The sequence below is a fragment of the Homo sapiens genome, chromosome 20 (genome assembly GCF_000001405.40).
Source record: "Homo sapiens chromosome 20, GRCh38.p14 Primary Assembly".
In the NCBI taxonomy this organism is placed as follows: Eukaryota; Metazoa; Chordata; class Mammalia; order Primates; family Hominidae; genus Homo; species Homo sapiens.
In genome coordinates this window covers 12,372,582-12,394,883 of record NC_000020.11, presented here as the reverse complement: position 1 = coordinate 12,394,883, position 22,302 = coordinate 12,372,582, and the positions used below count along the sequence as shown (strand labels likewise).

Below are 22,302 nucleotides of genomic sequence, written 5' to 3'. Positions count from 1 at the left end.
GGAAGGTAAGTGACAAAAGAGTGAGAACGGGAGCACCCAAGACAGAAGTCATGATCTTTTATGACCTAACAATAGAAGTAACATCCCATCCCTTGCTTGGTATTCTGTTTGTTAGATATGTCAGTAAGTCCAGCCCACACGTGAGAGTTGGAGATTACACAAGGGTGTGGATACCAGGCAGGCAGTGGATATCACTGGGGTTCATCTTAGGGGCTTCCCACAGAGAAAGTCAGTTGAACCCTTAGGATTCTCAAATGTGTTGCATTCTGCCTCCAAGGTTCTTAAGTTTGCTCCATAGTCATTTTATTTTTCCCCATTTCATTCCACTCAGTGTTTGCCCTGAATCTTTTCTGTTCATGTGATTCTTCACCAGCTTTTCAGAGGACAAAGCTCATGAATTTCTACTTCATGACCAAAGATAAGTCATCTATTTTTCCCTCTAGTTTCTTCCTTTACTTCAGAATTTAATCTATGTATATATCCAAATCCTCCTTTCTATTTTGTCTCATCAAAAAGGAATGAGAGTACGAAGGAAATGTAATTTTGCTGAATACTATCTATTGGCCAAGCTCTGTTTTGAAATATGTATTATTCAAATATATAATATATAATATGCATATTATATATAATATATAAAATATTTCAAAATATATAACATATTATATATTGTGTATATTATATAATGTGCATATTTTATATGTACATATTATATAACATACATATTATAACTACAAATATTACATATTACATATAATATACATATTAGATAATATACAAAATATATATGTTATATATTGAAATATTTTATATATTATATAATATGTATTTGAATAATATATTTCAAAATATATATGTATATTCAAATATATAGTATATAATATACAAATATGTATTTGAATAATATATATTTCAAAATATATAATATATATACTATATAAAAATTTATATATAATATACACATACAATAACATATACATATATGCATATATAATACCTATGTATATGCAGTACAATATGTTCCATGATGTAAATATTCCTACTGTATCCAATATATAATATACATATTATATAAAATATAGTATTTCACATATAATATGTATATTATATATTGTATATAAATTAATTATTTAATAGGTTCTAGGGAATGTGGTAAACTTGACAGTTTATTGTCTCATTTAATCTGTACAGCATTTTTTACTTGTCGTATCTGAGATTTACATAAGCAAAGTAACTGGCTTGAGGTGAGACAGCTGGTGAAGGATTGCAGCAAAGCCGTAATCCAGGCCAGCATTTCTATTCATCACTGTTTCCTTGTCTCTAAACTGATTCACATCCTTAGTGTTGGTCCTATCTCATCCTGCCTTGTTTAGAAGCCTGCACCCTTCATTGCTTCTATTTTTTCATTTCTGGTCTTACTAACTACAAACTTACTTTCAGCTAATAAGTGTGAGCCTCCCTTATCCTTAAAAAAAAAAAGACACAGAGGGAAGAAAATAAAAAAATAAAGCCTTGTGCCTTCAACTCTCACCTTACTGTATCTTTGCTCCATCTCTCCTCCTCCAAATGTCTCAATATAGAGACTGTACCCCATGACTCCACAGTCTTGCCTTTCCCTCTCTGTCCATCCTCTGGGTTCCATGCCTCCCCCACCCTCGCTAAGGTGGACAATGAACAGAGCCTTGGCTCAATTCTTCTCCTTCACTGCTCAAGTAAATTTACCCTCCTCAACACCTTTTTCTTAAAACACTTAATTTTTGTGGTTGCTGTATTATACATTCCAGCTTATTTTTTTGTGTTTCTCACCAGTCCTTCTTGATTTTATTCATTTACATTTTCTCTCACCTCTAAAATAAGATCTTTGTATTAGTTTCCTAGAACTGCCATAACCAAGTACCACAAACAGGGTGGCTGAAAACAACGGACATTTGTCTCTCTCAGTTGCGGAGGCCAGAAGTCTGAAATCACGGTGTTAGCAGAGCCACGCTCCATCTGAGACTCTGTGGAGAATCCTTCCTTGCCTCTTCCTGGCTTCCGCTGGTAGGCTCGATCCTTGGTGTTCCTTAACTGTTAGCTGCATTGCTTCCATCTCTGCCTCTGTTGCTACTTGATATTATCTTTTCGTGGGTCTGTGCTATGTCCACATTTCCTCTTCTTATAATGACACCAGTTCCATTGGATAAAGGGCCCATTCCACTCCAGAATGACCACATCTTAACTAATTACATCTTCAATGATCTTATTTCCAAATGAGATTGTATTCTGAGGTACTGGAGGTTAGGACTTTGACATATTTTGAGGGAAACACAATTCAACTCACAATAGTCTTGTCTGAGATTCTGTGCTATATTTTCTACTCTATTTCCTGAATCACATCTGTATCCACTGCCTCTAGGTAATGGTGCCACAGATTATGTCATTTTCTCAAAATTTTGTACTTTGCACCAATGTTCTCTTGAACTAAAACAAGCGGTTTCAAATGCCTAAAACACCTCCCCACTTGGATGTCTCATGAACATAGTAATGTAAATATTCCAGAAGGCCAGTGGCCAATGTGAGATGACATACACCCATAAATGTCCAAACCACCATCCTTATTTACCAGGACTCCTGCAGCAGCCTCCAATCTAATATCCACTTTCACTCTGCCTCTGCTACCATTTCTCATGGTGTCCAATATGGAAACCACAGCCTTTTATTCCACAAAACCCCATGGCTTCCCATTGACTTGAGGTATGGGGGCGGGGATCAAGCTCCTTCAAAACTGTAAATATTCCACAACTGTTATACCATGAACATCAACCTAGGCAAAAAGAGTTCTGCAATTTTCTGGCCCTCCAAATCTTTTGTCTCCATGGACATGTGAGTCCAACCTGAAATTCTCTCCACTGACTGCAACCCAAACCTTTCTCTCACCAAATCTGCCCTTTCTCTCAAGCGCTCATCTCTAAAAACAAAACCACCATTATCTCAGCCATTGATGAGGAACAGCAGCCTCATCTGTACATCTTCCTTTCTTTTGGCCTAATACATTCATTTGGTGGCCAGAACACAATGACTCAAGTCCTGCTCTGTTTTTTTCCCCTTCTCTTTTCTTTCTGGCTCTATAGACACACTCCTAGCTCAGGCCCACATTTTCTCCCAACCAAGGCATTGCAGTTGCTTCTAAATCACCCTTCCTGCTTTCAGCTTCTCTCATTCCCCAACCCACTATACATAGTGAATGCATTACAATATTTTTAAGTTATTTATTTTTTTTTTATTGAGATAGGGTCTCAAAATATTGCCCAGGCTAGTCTCAAACTCCTGCCTCGAGCAATTCTCTCACCTCTGCTTCCCAAGTTGCTGGGATTACAGGAGTGAGTCATTGTGTCTGGCTCCATAAAAATGTTTCTAAAGTGGAGTTTTGATCATTGTCCCACACCTTCTTCAAAACCCTTGGGGCTTCCACAGGGTTCATTGTAAAAGCCTGTGGTTCTTGAATGTTCATCAAGCCCTCAACAGCAGACAATGATAGTGCCTTTCCAACAGGTCTTGGCCTCCCCACTGTGGGCATGGTGGGGAGTGCCAGAGTCAACACCCACAGGAAAAGCTCTAAACAATGAGCCTAAATTTCCTACCTTCTCAGTAGGACAATTCTCAGAGGATCCCCAGCATTTTAAGTCCACAGTGGTAACCAGTGCCATGTATGCCGTACTGAAGCCTGAGGCAAAAGGAAATATGTATGCTTCTGTGTACTTGTTTTTATGTATTTTTAAATGGCTAATGGTTTTAATAAAAATACTATTAGTGTTTGCTTCCATGGAAACCAATAAAGTAAAAGTATAGCTAAATGTTTTTGATATAAATACAATGTTTAAATTTAAAATAATGATGTGAGTTTTAATACTTCTACTTTTAAATTTTACATTTTTCAGGTACTTAAATGTTCTGGAAAAAAATTCCCCATTTTAAAAATACAAAGAAAGGTATTCTTGCATATTGTTGTCTTTTTCCTCAGGCTCCTATATGGCCCAATGCAGTATTGTTAGATCCTGTCCTTATTTAAAATTTTAATAATGTGTGTATCATGGATTTTTGTGTTAATTTTGATGGTTTAAAATATTATATTACAATATTGTCTGTATTGACTACTGAGTGTTTGAAACTCCCATAAATTCAGCAACCTGGGTGAGCTTCCCTCTCCTCACACTTGTCCTAGCCCTAGGAGTCATCTGCTAACTCAGGTTTCTTTGGTTGCTTTTCCTTCCTTCCCTGCCTCGCTCCCCAGTTCCCTCACCCTACTTCCTGGGATTATTTCCCAAATAGACTACTTAAAATCTTTATCTTGAGATCTGCTCTTGAGAAAATCCAAATTAGCATATCATCTGTGGTGTAGCAACAACGAACTGTCCCAGAAACAGTTCCACCTTTGTCCCTCAAACCTAAGCTCAGCCAATTCAGCATGTTTCTATTCCTAACTTAACTGTGATAACATATGTGAAAGCTCTTTATCAAGAAGCACCGTAACATTATAAGTGTGATGTCATAAGAAATATATTTAGTCCTTGCCCCTTGTTTTGGCACAGAACTCTTAAAACCCTGGGAATTTTCTGAATGATAGGAATGTTTATTATTATTCATAAGGAGCTCCTTTTGATCACACCTGAGTTTACAATAATGAGGTGACTTATGGCAGGTACTCTAGATAGTCTCAGGATGGGGCTGGCTACAAGGAAGACCAAGTGATTAGAAGACTAAAACTTTCATCCCCACCTGCCCACCTCTGGGAATGATGGGGGAGCTGGTGATTAAGTTCTAAGAAAACTCTTAAACAATAAGATTTGATGAGCTTCTGGTTTCGTGCGCTGGGAGGGTAGTGCACCCCCACTCAACATGGACAGAAATTTCTGCATTGAGGGACCCTTCCCCACCCTATGTACCTTGTCATCTGCCAACCCTTTTTAATATCCTTTATACTAAACTGGCAAACATAGGCGTTGCCCTGAGTTATGTGAGCTGTTGTAGCAAATTATAAAGCCTGAGGAGGGGGTTGTGGGAACCCACAACGTCTGGCCAAGTTAGAAGTGCGGGTAACCTAAGGATCCACTACTTATAATTGGTCAGAAGCAGGAGGGCAATCTTGTGGGACTGAGCCCTTAACATGTCGGATCTGTACTAACTCCAGGTAATTAGGGTCAGAATTAAATAAAAGTGTAGGAAACAGTTGGTATCTGCAAGAGAATTGCTTGGTGTGGAAAACCCACACATTTGGTGTCAGAAGTGTTGTGAGTAAAAAATAGATCTTAGGAATGAGCAATTGTTATTAGCTTCCTGTTTGTTCATGAAACTCACTGTCCCTAGCATTTCTTTATTCTGTGTTCACAAGTTGAAAAATTACCCATGCCACTACTCTGATGAAGGCATTGTTTTACATCTCCTCTCTCAGATTTCTCTCTTTTTTCCCTCTGTTCTCGTATCATAGTGGTAATTCTTATGATAGCCTCCATCCCATGTACCTTCTACTCAGGGCATTTTAATACCTCTTATCGCCCTCTGTTAGACTGCCAGTCTCAAAAATGTGGGCAGTGTCTGCTCAACTTTCTAAACAACCACAGAAGCCTACCTTGCAGTGGACACCTGCACATTAAATGTGTGGTAAGTCAAATTAAATGAAGAATTTAATAAATTCAGAACCAGTGCATTCAGCAACAGAACCTTTACTTGGGTGAACAGAGCAGGTGGAGATGCACACAAATCCATTCAAAGCACAGCTATCAGGGAACACAATGTACCAGATAGCTGTGCTGCCTCGGCGGTAGGTTCAGGAACACGCTGGCCCAGGAATCTGGAGGTGGATTTGGCAAACAAGGCTTCACAGAAAGTTTTTGCCTCACCCACCAACACAAGGCTCTACCTTTGCTGTTACCAAACTCTTTGTGACCATGTTGCTTGACTCAATATGCATCAAATGAACAATATTCCTAACAGGTGTTCCCAATCAGGTCCAGAATTAGGGTATGAAAAAAATAGCTGGCATTTGCTCTGATTCTGATGATAGGGTTGATTTAAACCTTGGAAAGCTCTTTTCAAAACCACCTGGCAGAACATCGCAACACACCCACATACACCATTCAGTTGGTATTTAGAGGACTTCAATAAATCACCAGGTTCTCCAAACTGCTCTGTGGACAGCTGAATTTTTCTCGGCCATGATTAAACTGTTCATGCCATCTTCTCCCCTACTTTGTCAACAATTCAAGAGGTTCAAGTCTCAAACAAACATTTTATATTTCCTCTTCACAGCCTTTCTATGCTATTTAAGTTGTATCAAGTTGCTCACCACAGTATTATTTATAATAGCAAATTGGGAAGAAACCTAAGTCGTGGAAGAGTCATAGGTTAAGCAAATTACCTGTATTCAATTTTCACAGGATCGCTTATAGGAAAAATTTTACTGATAGTAATATACTACTAATAATATTACTAATAGTAATAATTTGGATTATGTAAATATGGATGATTATTTTGTCTCTTCCATTTATAATTCATTTTAATGTATTACAAATGTGTAATCCTTTAATAATTATAAAATATAAATATATAATTATAAAAATAGTACACTTTACACACTTAAAAAAATTAATTGTGTAGACATCCTAGATTGGGGAATAAATCATAAAAGATGGACATTTGGGAGAGGGAAGTTCTAGTCCCATTCTTTGCCTTGATGAAAAGACACTTCAAAATTCTGAATGTGTGTGTTGGTTGTGAGATACCCAGTTGTAGTATTTGTAAATTGTTAACAACTGACTACAATAAGGATCCTGATTTGTAACATTTGCTAGTTCCAAGATGTAAATATACCCGTTGTAATCAATTCCAAGCCACAGATACGAAGTCACTGAATATGGGGTTAAGTAGAGGCGCATGATTGACCTTGCAGGGCTATAGGAGCTGAGTCAGCCCCAACATACCACTGACCTCATTTTCTCACTGAGCACCTCTGTGAGCCAATGGCTAACCATCTGAAAATGGCTCTTACAAAGCAATTATCCATGGTCAGTTTGAAACTCCTCTCCCAAGAGCATAGCTTTCTAACAAGACAAACTCACTCACCAAGATACCAGCTAGAAAGAGCACACTCACATTACCTTGGCCCATCTGTCTACGCTCCTGGAGCCCTCTTCTGTATCCTGGACCAAAATAATTGTATTCAGTTCTGAGGCCCTAATATCAAACAGGAAACTACATACTGGACTTTTATCAAGGGAATAGCCCAGTTATGAAAAATGTTAAATGTGAAAAACAACATATGTGAAGAAGAGCAGTAAGCATATTTTGAAATTTTTAAATAAACATTAGAACACTAAAACATCATTGAAAAACTGATCAAAGAACTTCAGGGCTGGTAGGACCTTAGTGAATACCGAAACCAATATTTTGAAGTAAAAAACATTGAGTCCCAGAGAACCCTGACTGGTTCAAAGTCAGGTTTCAATTCAATGTTTTCTGATGCCAAATTCACTGCTTTTATTATTAATATGGTACCATATAGAAATTCATGTTAGCTTAAATTTTAGTAGGATTATTATAATATAGTACTTATGACAAAAACCCTAAGAATGTTTTCTATTTTATCCTGTGAGGAAGAAGTAAAGTTGTTTTTTTAAGTATCTTCAAAAGATTCATATTCTATGAAGAAACTTTTTTGACACTTAACAGGAGGCATTGATGTTCACTGTAAATAAAATTCTCTCCTCTACTTTTCTGTTTTCTTGTGTGAAATAGAAGCACGGCTGCCCTGTTCACCTCTTTCTATTTCATCAAAGTGAGAGTGGCCGAAGCATACACTGCAAGGAAGCCACATCTTTGACTTTGCTGCTGGTTTAGTCTTTGGGGAATGAAACCTGAAAATGACTTCCTCAGAAGGAGAGCTGGGCAGCTTGTTCTGGCTGTTACTGCCAGAAAGATGCATCCTGTCACAAGTGACTACGTTTCTGAGTGAAAACCTGAATGCTCTGAAACCTCATAAAAACTAACCAGTTAAACATAAAATAGCAGAAAGCCAAATTTATATTCATACTTATATTCTAACCATCATGTTTATTAATGTTATAAGTGTGTCTTGGGGTGTACAAACCAACCCACACACATCAAACTACGAAGGCTTTTTGATTTGTCTACATTAATTCTGGTTAGGATTTCAATGGAGAGTTTCTCATCAGTAGCATGCAAATATACATTAATAGTCTGTGTAACTAGCTGAAATGTAGATTCAGTCTTAGGATGAAAATTAGTAATTTATGCTACAATACAAATAGTTTAAAAGAAAATTACTAGGTTGACAATTTAAAAAATTATTAGTAACAAAACCAATTGTTTATGTACCATACATTTAAGAAAAACTTAAAAAGCATAATTCTCTGGCTGATAGACAAAATGAGAAACCTTCGTTACAGGTTTCTTCTGGGTAATTTTAAAGTGAGATTAGGAGGTATCCAATAAGCAAAGAACAATAATTTGGAAAAATAACCAGGAGGCCTATTTCTCCAACAGATCTTACTTCTGTGGTTGACATTTTTTCCTGCAGTGGGTGTGAAATTGTAAAGAATCCACTTAGGTACCATTTCACATTCACATGCTAATTTATAAAATTTGGACTTCAGTATCTTTCCTAATAGAGCTCTTCAGAATAGTTTAAGAGTGTTATTTCTTTACTTACTTAGTTATCTGCTTACTTCTAGATCTGGAAGGTAGCATGAGAAGAATTATCCACTGAGGACACTACTCAGAGTGTGGTCCTCTGACTCGTAGCATCTGAATCACCTAAAAGATGTTACAAGTGCAGGATCTCAGGCTTCACCCACAGACCTACTTTAGAGTTTACATTTTAAACACATCCCAGAAAATTCAAATGCACATTAAAGTTCAAACAGCACGGGTCTAGGTCCATTTTACACATTAAGCCATTGAGAAATTGTTCCAAATACTCATAGCTGGTTAATTGATGATGAAAACTCAAGCCAAGATTTCTTGAATTCCAGAACTCTGTCTTCTTCCTGCTTTGCTTTCTTCCCTTTGGCACCTTCTTAGTTAATATAAGTAACTCCTTCCATACAACCACTTAAAATTAATCCAATCACTATCAATGTCCATCATTAATGCCAATGCCAGCTTTGGCTGGATCTGTCTCCCTCAATGACTTAAATTTTGTCAACTTTTTTTTGTTAATATGGTCCAAAATTAGACATTGACACAATGGCTGGCAAAGTTAAAATAAGTGTATTTGTATCCTTTGGCAAAGGCAAATCTACTCAGGAAGACTGAAAAAGGGTCTTTGGAGTATTTTTCAGTTCACCAGCAAATTAGAGAAGCTGTCCCTGCCCCTCCTCCCCTTCCATTCCAATCAGGAAGAAGCAAAAATGGGCCTTAAAATGCCTGCATTTTCCTAGAACCAATAAAGTAAATGGAACCTCATTTCAAAAGGGTGGCTAAGTATAAACCAACTGAGGGAGAAATCTTCAGCTGATAACTTTGTGTCAAGAGGAGATTCACAGCCGTCAAGAGGAGATTCACAGCCGGTGAGAGTGATTTGAAAGCAGATCATAGGAAAAATCGTGTCTTCTATCACTTTAAGAGGAATGAATTGAAGAATAGTTTACTTTTTCCAGTCTCTTAAATCATATCAATGAAAAAGGACAGCCCTTATACAGCAGGAAAGAAAGGAGGAGGGGGCACCACCAAAATTTTGTCATTGCAGAGGCAACAATTCACTCAGTGTTTCAGTTGAAAGTTTGCAACCAAACACAAGAGATTTGCAATGCATTGCAATCATAAAGAATTCTTCAGGGCCGGGCACGGTGGCTCACGCCTGTAATCCCAGCACTTTGGGAGGCCGAGGCGGGCTGATCAAGAGGTCAGGAGATTGAGACCATTCTGGCTAACAAGGTGAAACCCCCTCTCTACTAAAAATACAAAAAATTAGCCGGGCGTGGCGGTGGGCGCCTGTAGTTCCAGCTACTCAAGAGGCTGAGGCAGGAGAATGGCGTGAACCCGAGAGGTGCAGCTTGCAGTGAGCCGAGATCAGGCCACTGCACTCCAGCCTGGGCAACAGAACGAGACTCCGTCTCAAAAAAACAAATAATAATAATAATTCTTCAGATTCCCATGTCCTACCACGATTCTTTTATGTTAAAGTAGAAAGGGATCCTGAGACATCATTGCCATTTGACACATGTGAAAATGAGGCTCAGAGGAGTTGCACAACCTTCTCAAGGTCACATAGTAAGGTACAAAACCAGGACAAGGATCCTGTGTTTCTGACTCTCCATCCACTGCTTTGACTTGGCAAAATACCTACATTTCCTGCCTAAAACGTTTGCTGGATTTCCGGACAGGAATCTAGCTTAGTTTTTGTTTTGTTTTGTTGGGATTTTTTGTTGTTATTGTTTAATACATTCCTATAAGAGACTTTAATAAAAACAGAAAAAATTTCAAGATCTTGGGGAAATAACAAAAATATGTGGGTTCATTTCCCAGGAATCTATTATCTGGAACTTAAAATGTTGACATCTTCTTATGGTGATAATATTTAGACTTAGAGATCTGGGTCAAGTATGGGGAAGGTCAAGAGAAATCTGTTTGCATCCGTTGGCAAAAAATAGTGCATTTAGGAAGACCAGACAGGGGTCCTTGAAGTCTTTGGGGCTTAATTAATATCTCAGTAGTATGTGTGGCTTTTTGGTACTGCTCCTACTTCTGTTTTCTAACTTTAGGGAATGAGAATTTGGCCTCAAAGCTACAGACAGCTGTGAAATTCAATGCTCTATTGGAGCATTTTAAACAGCACATTTGGCCCTTTGGAGGTAACTAAATGGGTTTCACTTCTACAGATTTATAGAACTTGCTCTTTTGCCCAAATTTCTACCTCTTCCGGCTGACTCACTCCCAGCTCTTTCAAATTGAGCCCTTCATTACTCACAGTCTGTACAATATGTAAGATAAGCTAGGATCAAATTCATGCAAGCCTGGCAAAGATTATTTCCTTTCAGATGCTAGAATTTTACCCATCTCTTTTTCTACCATAGTGACATACTGGAAAGTACAAATTGCAGATCGTGTAGTCTTGCAATGCAGGAATGAAGGTATGGTCTACAAATGGTTTTCAACCTTGGCTGCCCATTACAGTGATCTTGGGAGCTTCAAATAATCCCCATGTCAGGCTGCTTCCCACTCCAATTTCATCAGAATCAGCCGAGTGAGACCCAGGCATTGGCATTCTTTAAGCAACTGCTCATGTGGGTCCAATGTTTAGTTAAGTCTGCGAACCAGTGGTTTTAAACAGCTCTTCTCAAACTTTAGTGAGAATTGGTTATCACCTGGATGCTTTTTAAAACAGACCGCCGGGCCCAACCAGTGGTCAGCAGATGAGTGCCTCAGTGCTCCTCAAACTGTGGCTCACAACCAGCACAATGGCATCGCCCAAGAGCTTGTTAAAATGCAAATTCCCAGATTTTGCTCAAGACCAAATCACTGGAAGTGGAGCTCTTGAATCTTCAGGATTACTAGCTCTCCAAGCGATGATGGTGTACACTAAAGTTTAAATACCATTGGTCTAAAGAAGCTAGTAAGAACTGTACAACCATGATAACAACTGAAAATAATATTGACAATGCTAATACTTCAGTCACCCATAAATTGCTCATTCTATTGTTTGATATCACATGCCCCGATAACTGCAGAAGGCCTGGGTTAAATCCACTTGTGAGTGGATTTCTCACCCTATCTCGTTCATCTGAGTGAACCTTGCCAATCCTCTCAGTCAGTACTCATCAATGCTAAGGTTTCCTCAGAAGATGAGGCCCCTCCTTGCTAGGCTACATCTCCAAAAAAAAATTAATAGCAATATATCTGTCAAGGGCCCAGATTCTCACTTTTGGTCAAGGCTAAAAGAGGGCAATTTAATTTGAAAGAAAAGTCCAGGGCATATCATTGGGGAAAAGTGTCCAGGATAAAAATATATGTGAGAGGCCCGGCATATTGCTCTGGCTTCAGTCAGGAATGATGTTCTCACTCAAGCCTCTAGCCTGCTTCATGGGGTCCAAGCAGGCTCTGGACATAAAGCATAAAGGAGAAAGAGCTTCTACCTGGACACAAACTTCAATCCCATTTTTCAGCCCCTCTTTCTCCAATACAATTCCCTGGATAAAACATCTGATCTCCCTCTCTTAACTACGGTCATCTGCCAGGTCCCCTGAGGTAACTGAGCCCAGCATTTATTTTTTCTGTAGCCATTGTCTCTGTGGGGTAAAAACTTTTCTAGAGCTGAAACAGTGCATCAAAGTCACTAACAATTTCAGGGTTAACTTTTAGTATTTTCTCTTTTATAAATGGAGTCTTGTTCTTGTCACTCAGACTGGAGTGCAGTGGCGCTGTCTTGGCTTACTGCAGCCTCCACCTCCCAGGTTCAAGCAATTCTCCTGCCTCAGCCTCCAGGCACCTGCCACCATGCCCAGCTAATTTTTGTATTTTTAGTAAAGATGGCATTTCACCATGTTGGTCAGTCTGGTCTCAAACTCCTGACATCAAGTGATCCACCTGCCTCACCCTCCCAAAGTGCTGGAATTACAGGCATGAGTCACCATCCCCAACCACTTTCAGTATTATCTTTAGCTGTGAGCAGTATTATAAGCTCCTTCGAGCTAGTTTTTGTTTTTGTTTTTGTTTTTGTTTTTGTTTTTTTGAGACACAGTCTCTCTCTGTCGCCCAGGCTGGAGTGCAATACCACGATCTCGGCTCACTGCAACCTCCATCTCCTGGGTTCAAGTGATTCTCCTGCCTCAGCCTCCCGAGTAGCTGGGATTACAGGCAACTACCACCACGCCCAGCTAATTTTTGTAATTTCAGTAGAGATGGGGTTTCACCATGTTGGTCAGGCTGGTCTTGAACTCCTGACTCCCAAGTGTTCCACCTGCCCCGACCTCCCAAAGTGTTGAGATTACAGGCATGAGCCATCGCACCCAGCCAGAACTAGCTTTTTTTAACCAGTGGAACTCCAAAACTGTGAGGAAGTTTAGCCACCCCAACATCTATTGCTTTGGTATGCTGATTATTTCAACATACCAATGGGCATTTGAGGAACAGCAACATATCAAGTGCATTTGGGGAACAGCAAATGCAAAAGAAGGGCTTTACTGAACTTCCTTTATCTGCCTAAGGAAGACATTCTTCAAAAGAGACTCAATTGTCATGAATCCCTTCCCCTGTAATCTTATCAACCAGGGAAGATGAACTGAAATTACAAGACAGGAGACTGGAGGTTGACTCATGCCCAGACAGACTATTAACAATTATCTGAGGGCTGCTCCCAGACAACTTTTTTTTTTGACTCCTGATTTTATTATTTGGTTTCTTTTTTTCATTTAAAGTAGTCTTCTGTGGTTGGGAAGCCTCACCTCCCAAGACCAGAGTCAGCTGGAGCTGGTTGTTGTTGGAAGGGAGTGGGTTGGGGAACTGGGATGGGGGAGAAAGGGAGACCCCTGCTCTGCTGCGGGTCCTAGGTGGAGAAGAAGAACTGTACTTCTCAAAGTCTGGGGTATGGTGGGAAGGGGATGGAGCAGAAGTAGCAAGCTGGGGAGATGGGACCCACCTCAGTCCCCAGCTTCACTTTCTTCTAATGTTTCCCCACTGGTGGCATTCTCCGCAGTCTTGGAGGCCTTTTTTCTTTTCTTTTCTTTTCTTTTTCTGGGTTTCTCGACTTGCAGAACTCTAGAGGAGGGCCTTTAGCTCTGCATCCTGGACCTCCATCTCAGACCTGTAGAGGTCAGGCTTGAAGGGACCACTGGTTTTCTGCATGGGGCCATTGGGCATGAGCAGAATTGTAAATTTAAACTGGGCAACAAATTCGCCCTCCTTCTCATAGAGAACATTAAACGGTTGCAGCAGTCTATGTTTGGTGCACTCCACCACATCCATCGGAGCCTTCTTCTCATCTTCAAATGCTCTTAAAGTAAACGGCATGGCATCAAAATGCCTTTCCACCTCACTGAAGAAGGCACGTGAAGTTTTCCTCTTCAGTCCATACTGTTTAGAGGAGTCTCGTTTCTAAATAGTGGTTCTCTGTCCTGCATCCTTGGCCTTGCCCTCTCCTGAGCTGACGAGAACATCCGCAGCATATACTTCATGTACCTCAAATTCAGCTTTTTCATGGTCCTTCTTCTGCTGGTCTGTAGGATTCTGGATAATGTTTTTTTCACCATCGATGACATGCTGCTTCAACTGGTGTGACAGCATACCTTCTATTGGCATGCAGTTAAATGAGAGGGCAACTTTGCTCCAGGCTTCTCTCACTTGTATGTTCTGATTTCCAGGTTTGACCAGGCATAAGGCAGCTTCAACACAAAGTTGAGCTGCCTTAATAACATCTCCTTTCCTCCCTGTTACTTGGGTCCCCTGAGCTACATCAACCACAAAAGTATGAGTTACATTAGCGATGAAGCCATCCACATGGACCCCAAGGTCAATTTTTACCAAGTCACCTTCCTTGAGAATATAATCCTGGCCTCTCTTCAAAGGGGAGAAGTGACATCCACAGTTATTTACTGAAATGCTGGTGGGAAAAGCAATACGTTTCTTCATTTCCTTTTCTTTCTTGAAGATTTTCCCTGTTTCTTCCATAATCATGGCATCTCCTTTCTCGCACAGGCTCAGTACCGACACACCTGAGCTAGATGCTTCCACCAACGACCGAAGTACCCGGTTGGCGATGTGGTCCCCCCACACATCTTATACTTGGTCACGACCAGGTCCTTGGCGATAGTTTGCTCCTGCTGCTGGACCTTGCCCAACATCTTCCTACTACCACCACTGCAGCCTCGTTTCTCCTGAGCCGCCTCCTCTCCCAAACAACTTTTATTACCTCAGAAATTGTATCTGTGTAACAAGACCACTTCTACTCATCATATATTTTTTCTTGTCATCCTCTCTTAACTTGTGTAGGTATCACCCTCAAGAAGCCCTAAGCCCTACTTTTTTTCTATAGCTCAGGAATCTATATAAGCTTCAATCATCTGACCAATCTTTGAGTCTCATATTTTTGGGGACTCCAGTGCCTGTATATGTAATTTTCTTTTTTCTCCTGTGAATCTGCCTTATGTCAATTTAATTTGTAGCCCAACCAAAAAACCTAGAAGGATAGGGGGAAGCCAGTTTTTACTTCTCTACAAAGGGCTCAGATGATCTGATCATTGATTCACAAATCATGACTTCCTGGCCTCAATCTCTGAGTTCTGTCACAAAAGCTTTGAACTTTTGAGCATAAGTCAGTTTTTTTCTTCCCTAATTAAAATGCTACCTCACTTCACTGTACAAGGTAAAAACAATCACTAATGTTTCAGACACTTGATTGACATCAAGGAAATACATTGGAAAATCAGACCAAATATTTTCACTTTGAAAATTTGAGTGGCAGGACCAGGAATCTGCCTTCTTCAAAGAAAGAAAGAAAAATAATTCTTAGGTGAAGCTGACCTAAGTTAAAACTTCCCACAGAGAAACAGCAAGCTTTCTATGTGGGGTGTGGGCTGTGCATAATATTTTATTATTTCCCACGCATCTCAGCTTACAAACATGCAAAAGGAGCAGAATGCCCAGAGTCAGGAAAGACACACAGATTAAATAATTGTAAAAGAGCCTTAAACAATTGCCAGTTTCCAGTTTGGGTTGCTCTTTTTTATGAGTTTTTATGCACCAGCTTTCCCCCTTAAAATTATATTTAATAAGAAATTAGGTTCACTTTGCACATTGAGATACCTCCTCCTTTAGGAAGGTGCTTTAGGAAGGGAGATAATATTCTCCCTGTAAAATCCTAATATAATTATAGATTCTTCCGTAAATTTTGTGTTCACCTTTTGAAGGTGATTGTTGGTATTTTTTCAGAGTTTTTATATAACCCTCTACCATTTGTTGAAAAAAGAACCCATTATTTTAGTCAGATAAAAGCAGCTGAAAAAAAAAAGCCTGCTGATTTTTATAGCTGGGAAAAGGAGCATGCAGAATTAGATCCTAATTAATGAATGCCTAATGAGCCAGAAGTGCTTAATGAACATTAAATAATAACAGTAAAATAGATATGCTTTTTAAAAAAACATGATCTACATGAAGAACTTTGTTTCATTTCTTGAGAAATGTGACTATTCATAGGATGGATCTCCTCTTGCCAATCTCTCTGTTTTTCACCTGAGGTCAAGGAAGATCTTCATTGGCCGGATCAGTGGGCCCCATGCCTCCCGGCTTTCAGGTGGATCCATCCAATGGGAGATTGGAGGGAGGGAGGAAAGTGCAATTTGGCTCCCCCTGTGCCAGGTTACTGCAAGTTGGCTGAAATTCTTTACCTCCAGCCGCAGCTCCTGGGTGCTGGTTGTTATTTCCTCCCCTAGCCCATTCCATCCTAGGAGTGATAAACAGCCCCTCACTATTGCTAGCTCCAGAGGCTTCACATTCCTTGTTTGTTTCTCTTAATCATGCCCACAACCTTGTAAACATGTTCCTTTAACTGTCCTTAATTTCCCGACCTGAGTGTGCAACTAATTCCTTCTGGAGCACTGACCACTACTCCTAGAGAGTCTGTTTTCCATACATAATAAAATAGGTGTATTAAACGGCGCACTTAAATGTTTATTTAAACACATGTTTTTAAACATATACTTTAAGATATAGCTATGCCTTTGGGCTATTTCAATGCCAAATATGCTACCTCTCTGTTGAAATAATTTGCAAGGTCAAAAACACTTGCTTTCTTATATTCTTATGAATCACTCTGCTTCATAATTTGTATTCTATTTACATCCTGTTTCCTGCATATTCTCTACGTCTTCTCTACCATAGTGGACACTCTGTGAAGGAAGCTCTCTAAATGGCTTTTGTACTTACATAGAAACAAAAACAGACGGCAAGAAAAGAGCATAAAAACTCAACCTGATATAAGGTGCTGTGATGACGTTTTCCTCTGTGTATCTTGTCTTTTATTTCCATTGGTAACCTTCATCTGACAGATAATGCCCTTTGAAGGGTGACCCCCAACTCAATATTTGTTCTCTCTCTATTCTAGATTCTCTTGGATAAATGTATAGTTTGTAACTGATGAGAGACATTGAGAAAAAAAAAAACTTTGACTCTCAGCGTTGGCATGTACTTTATCTTGGAGCCATAAGGAATGGTGAAATAGGGGTTTTAGACAGAAGTAGTGTGTCTTTCTCTTTATCTAACTCCTTCCTCCAAAGGCTCTGTTTTCCTCCATATCCTAATGCCTAAGACTATCTCCCTTGACAAAGAGGAGTATGCAAACATCAGGAAGGAGGCAGTACCTCTCTTCCCCTGGCAGAGCCTCATCTCATTAGCAGAGCTCTTGAACAAGGCTTGGCCCTCTCTGCAGCATCATTGGGACCCTAAAAGAATAGTAATTTTCCAGACACATTATCAATTCTTAGAGGAATACTGGGTGATTGTGTGTTAGGAAGTTTCTCTGTGCATGATAATGTTGGTAGCAAGGACCTTCATCTCTTACCAATCTGTGAGTAATACACTGGATAGAGCCCCAGGGAGCTGAAGAAGTTAGAGCAGCTTTCAAAACTGCCTAATTTGCAACTAAAGAATAGCTTAGGCCCAGAGATAAATAGATTTGTTAAGTTTAAAGTGGAAAATCACAAAGTTATAAGCAAAGTGTAGCCACATGTACCTATGACTAAGTCTACATCACCCTCTTATTAAACTTAAAAATAGACTTTTAAAACAAGCTGGAAGAATCTACTAATGCTCAACATACACAAATCCTACACCCAGCAATTCTACTTATAAGTGTATACCCAGAGGAAATGTGTCCATAAGTTCAACAAAAGATATAGTAGAATATTCATAGCAGCACTGGTCCTAGTGGCTAAAAATTAGTAGAAGTTTCCAAATTGTCCATACTTATATAAAATATATAGATAAATGAATGTTATATGGAATGAGAAGTAACGATCTACAACTACATGCAAAAATATAGATGAATTTCACAAGCATGTTAAGTGAAAGAAGTAAGACAAGAGCACATAGCCTGTGACTCCTTTTATCTAAAGCACAGAAAAAGGCAAAACCAATGTGTGTTAACCAGAGTAAAGATAGTGATACCGGTTTTGGAGCATAGTGACAGGAAGAGAGACTTAGAGGAGGGCTTTCATTATTCTGGTAATATTCAGTTTCTTGACTGGGGATAGTTTATAGTTCAATACATTTTCTAAAAGTTAACACACCTCATAGAAAAAAGGGTGGTTAGGAGTCCAACTGATTTAATGCACAATCATTAATCTATTGGCCAAGAGCCTTTAATCTTCCCTTAGAATAGGAACAGGGCCGGATTAATGGGTGGTCCATCCAGGCAGCTGTCTGAGGTGCCACTTTATGCTAAGGCCTGTCTGGGGATAGAAGATATAGAAAATTGTACTTGTCAGAATTTCTTCCAGAGATGGCATTGTACATGTTTAAAAAATGATCCTTTGATAAACAGTTAAATTTGGTAGAATACCCTCAAAACAGTTGCAAAGACCTTTAGTATGCATTAAGAAAGCTTAAGAAAATGGCCACAATTCATTAATAACCTCTGTGACAGTTTGTTTTTAGCATTTAGCAACTATTCTCTACTTTCTCTTTTTCTGTGGGCAAAGAATGTATCCAGGCATTGATGCTGGGCTTGGCTGGGTGACCTGCTTTGGCTAATAAAATGTTAGTAGACCTGAATTGTAATCTGAATTTGTAAAGAGAACATAAATTTCTTGTCCAGTGATACAATGAAAAGTGGAAGCACTAATGTATAAAGAAGCTGTTATTATTTCTGTTTTATTGGTTAGACTCCAGATTCTTCATTTTTAACAAGCTCCCAGGTGGTACTGATGATGCCAGTCAATATAACACACATTGAATACATGGTTTTATATCGCAATGTCTTCATCTATAAAATGGGGACCATAATACCTACTCACAAAGTTGTTTGGGGGCCAATTCAAATGCTGTGTCTAAGTTTCTTAACACTGTGAACAATGAATGGTCATTTCTCTTACTACCTTCTACTCCTTCTCAGACTATAAAAGAGGAGAGCAAATATATGTGGCAGGTTTTGTATAAAAAGTATAAGATATGGGTGGGCACGGTGGCTCACCCCTGTAATCCCAGCACTTTGGGAGGCCGAGGCAGGTGGATCATTTGAGGTCAGGAGTTCGAGACCAGCCTGGCTGACACAGTGAAACCCAGTATCTAGTAAAAACTCAAAAATCAGCCGGGTGTCGTGGTGTGCACCTGTAATCCCAGCTACTCAGGAGACTGAGGCAGGAGAATCACTTGAACCTGGGAGGCGGAGGCTGCAGTGAGCTGAGATCACACCACTGCACTCCAGCCTGGGTGACAGAGAGTGACTCCGTCTAAAAAATATATATATATAATATATATATATTTTATATATATTTATATACATATATATGCTACATAATGAGGATGTGAGTTCAATACTATCTGTGTCACTCGCTAGCTGTGCAAACTTGGGTAAGTCCTTCAGCTTCTGTGCATCTCAGTGTTCTCATCTGCAAAAGGAGATCACAATGTCAACTTCTAAAGATTATGAGGATCAAATAAGGCCTGTCCCTGACACATGGTAGGCTCTGGAAATGTGTTGGTTGATCCAGAAGTGACTCAGAATTCAATGTATTTAGGGTCTCTGTGATAGTCAAAAGTACTGAATAGTGGCATCAAGGGACATTGTCCTGTGAGTTTCCACTGAGCAACTACAGTATATGCCATGGAGAAATTTTGCAGGATGTTGATACATGTCCCAAACTGCCACAGGCAGTTAGAGGATGGGATTCCTTTAAAAATAGAAGTCTGCTCATGCCCCCTTCTTGCTCAAAACCTTTCAAAATCATCCCATCACCCAATAAAATGCCAACTTCTCAACAGGCCCTGCCTGGTCTGGCAACTGGCTGTTGCTCCAAATGCACCACATATTCTCTGGCTATTATTCCCCACTTTGCTCACTCCATTCCAGCCCCCTTGCTTTTTTCTCAAAACACCAAGCACCTTTCTTCTCCAGGGCCTTTTCACATGCTGTTAGAGTGTTTCATCATGGACCATTCTTAACCCAGACATATGTGTAACTCGCTCCTTCCTTTTATTTTTGTCTTAGCTGATCTCACCTCATCAGAGGGGCCTACCTGACTGCCCAGTTTCAAATATCACTGTCATTCCCACAACATCATTCTATGACATCCTCAGGGCTCTTGTCACTGACCGATATCCTATTATATACAGTTTTTATTAGCATATTTTCTGACTCCACTGTGAGAATCTTAGATTCATGGGGAAGAGATTTTGTCCCTTTAATTCACTGGTATATCTTCACCAGATGCATAAGATGCTTAATAAATATTGTTGAGTGAAAAAAAAATGGAAAAATGTCTCACCAGAAAATTCCAATCTGACCTGTAAGAAGGTATGCACAGACATGTTGGTTATCAACACTGAGGTTTTGTATGAAGAGGTTGTTTTTGCATTTACATTCATTCATGCATTCAGTATTTCTTAGGCAACTATGTCCTGCCTGATACTCTTGCAGGTGTTCAGAAAATAGACCGAAATAAATGTTAGAGGAGCAGGAAGTTTGGAGGTCATGTTGTTAGGATTGACACCTGTGGAAGGAAGGGAAATAAGACTGAGAAGAGAGAAGCGGGCCCATGGAGCAGTTGCAGCAGAGGCCTCAGCTCACCTACCACAGAGCTGTGGAACCTGGATGCCCTTCAGAGTTGTCCCGAATGGAGGTAACAAATTTGAGCCTTTGTACCTTTGAATCCACAAGTCACTGGACATAGAATGTTTCTGGGGAAGAGCATGACATTGGGAAAAATGAAGCTCTTATGCAGAGAGCAGATCCAAGAGAGAGAATCTCTTGAGCTGTCAGCTTCCATCATTCCCAGGAGCTGGGGAATGAGTGCTTTAGTCATAAAGATGTAGGGGGAGGCAATGGGGATGTCAGAACAGCACATACTGGCATGCACTACAAGGAATAACATGAACAGCTTGTCTTTTAGGAGCTTACATGCTAGTGTAGGAGAAACGGATAATCAACAATAAGCAAAATAAATAATCTATATGGCATATTAGAAAATAATGAATGCCAAGGAAGGTGCACAGTAGAGCCTGATGAAGAGTAATTAAATGCCAGAGGGAAGCAGAGAGGCAGAATTCAATAGGAAAAGGGTAGGCTTCATTGAGCAAATGAAATTTGAGCACAGGCTTGAAGGGGGTAAGAAAATTAACTCTGCAGAAATGAGCCCGAAGGGAAGAGCATTTCAGTCAGAAGGAACAGCTGTTCCAAATCCCATGAGGTAGGAGCAGGCTTGGTGGGTCTGTGATACACTACTCCTAAGACCCTTGACAAATAAAAGCAAGTGAGACTTAAGTCAATAGTAAAAAAAAAAAAATAGTCATCTGTGAGCTTTAGATGACAAAAAGTGGAAATGCATCTTTTTGCCCCTCGTTTTAAAAGAAACGTTTCTAATCCAAGCTATAGCTGCATTTGGGCTGCTCTGGAGGAAGCAGAATATAGCTGATTTGTTTCTTGTCTTCCTCATTTGAATGAAGAGAAAGCACACCTTGTTGACAATGGTCCACCTTTAACTCAACATTTTCCCTTTATGAATTCTTTCAGGGGCACTACTCTGAAAGTGAATGTCATTTTACTTGACAGAAGGAGTATTTTCAAATGAGAAAAAGAGAATTTTACTGTGGTGAGCACAGTCAATTCATATCATTATATTCAGTCTTTGTTCAGGGGACAGCCAAGGTAGGCATGGCTCTTCCTGGCTTTACCCTTGCAACTTGTGAACGGCTGCCATGCTGGAATTTGTGTCTAGAGCTGAGGATCACTGTTAAGTGTCTGGCAAAAGAGCCAAACTCTTCCCATATTCTGGAATGAACCATAGACAAGACAAATAATCTCCCATATTCTAGAATGAACCATAGACAAGACAAATAATCTCCTCCCATATTCTAGAATGAACCATAGACAGCCTTTTGTGCCAGGATTCTTCTTGTGTAACTAGGAGCATTGCAAGGGCACTCATTGAACAGGTGCATTGTTCTCTGTGGAGAACAGCTGGGGATGTGTGAGGAATAAAGGCAAAAGTTGCTTCCTGTAGTTGCTGTTGACACAAGGAGAAGAGGTTCCTGAACTGAACTCTGCGCATATTGTTTACTTGGAATCTGGGTGTAAATTTTATTTCAATATTTTAAAGGAAATTC

The 22,302-nt window shown here is 39.7% G+C and overlaps 1 long non-coding RNA gene and 1 pseudogene across 1 annotated transcript; one reads left to right on the top strand and one right to left on the bottom strand.

The window, feature by feature from the left end:
- Nucleotides 1-1,968: 1,968 nt before the first annotated feature.
- On the top strand, nucleotides 1,969-21,007 carry LOC124904870 (uncharacterized). The gene is made up of 3 exons (XR_007067531.1): nucleotides 1,969-2,037; nucleotides 5,540-5,634; nucleotides 20,618-21,007. It is a non-coding gene; the product is annotated as an uncharacterized LOC124904870 (long non-coding RNA).
- PA2G4P2 (proliferation-associated 2G4 pseudogene 2) lies at nucleotides 13,361-14,874 on the bottom strand (annotated as a pseudogene).
- Nucleotides 21,008-22,302: the final 1,295 nt, after the last annotated feature.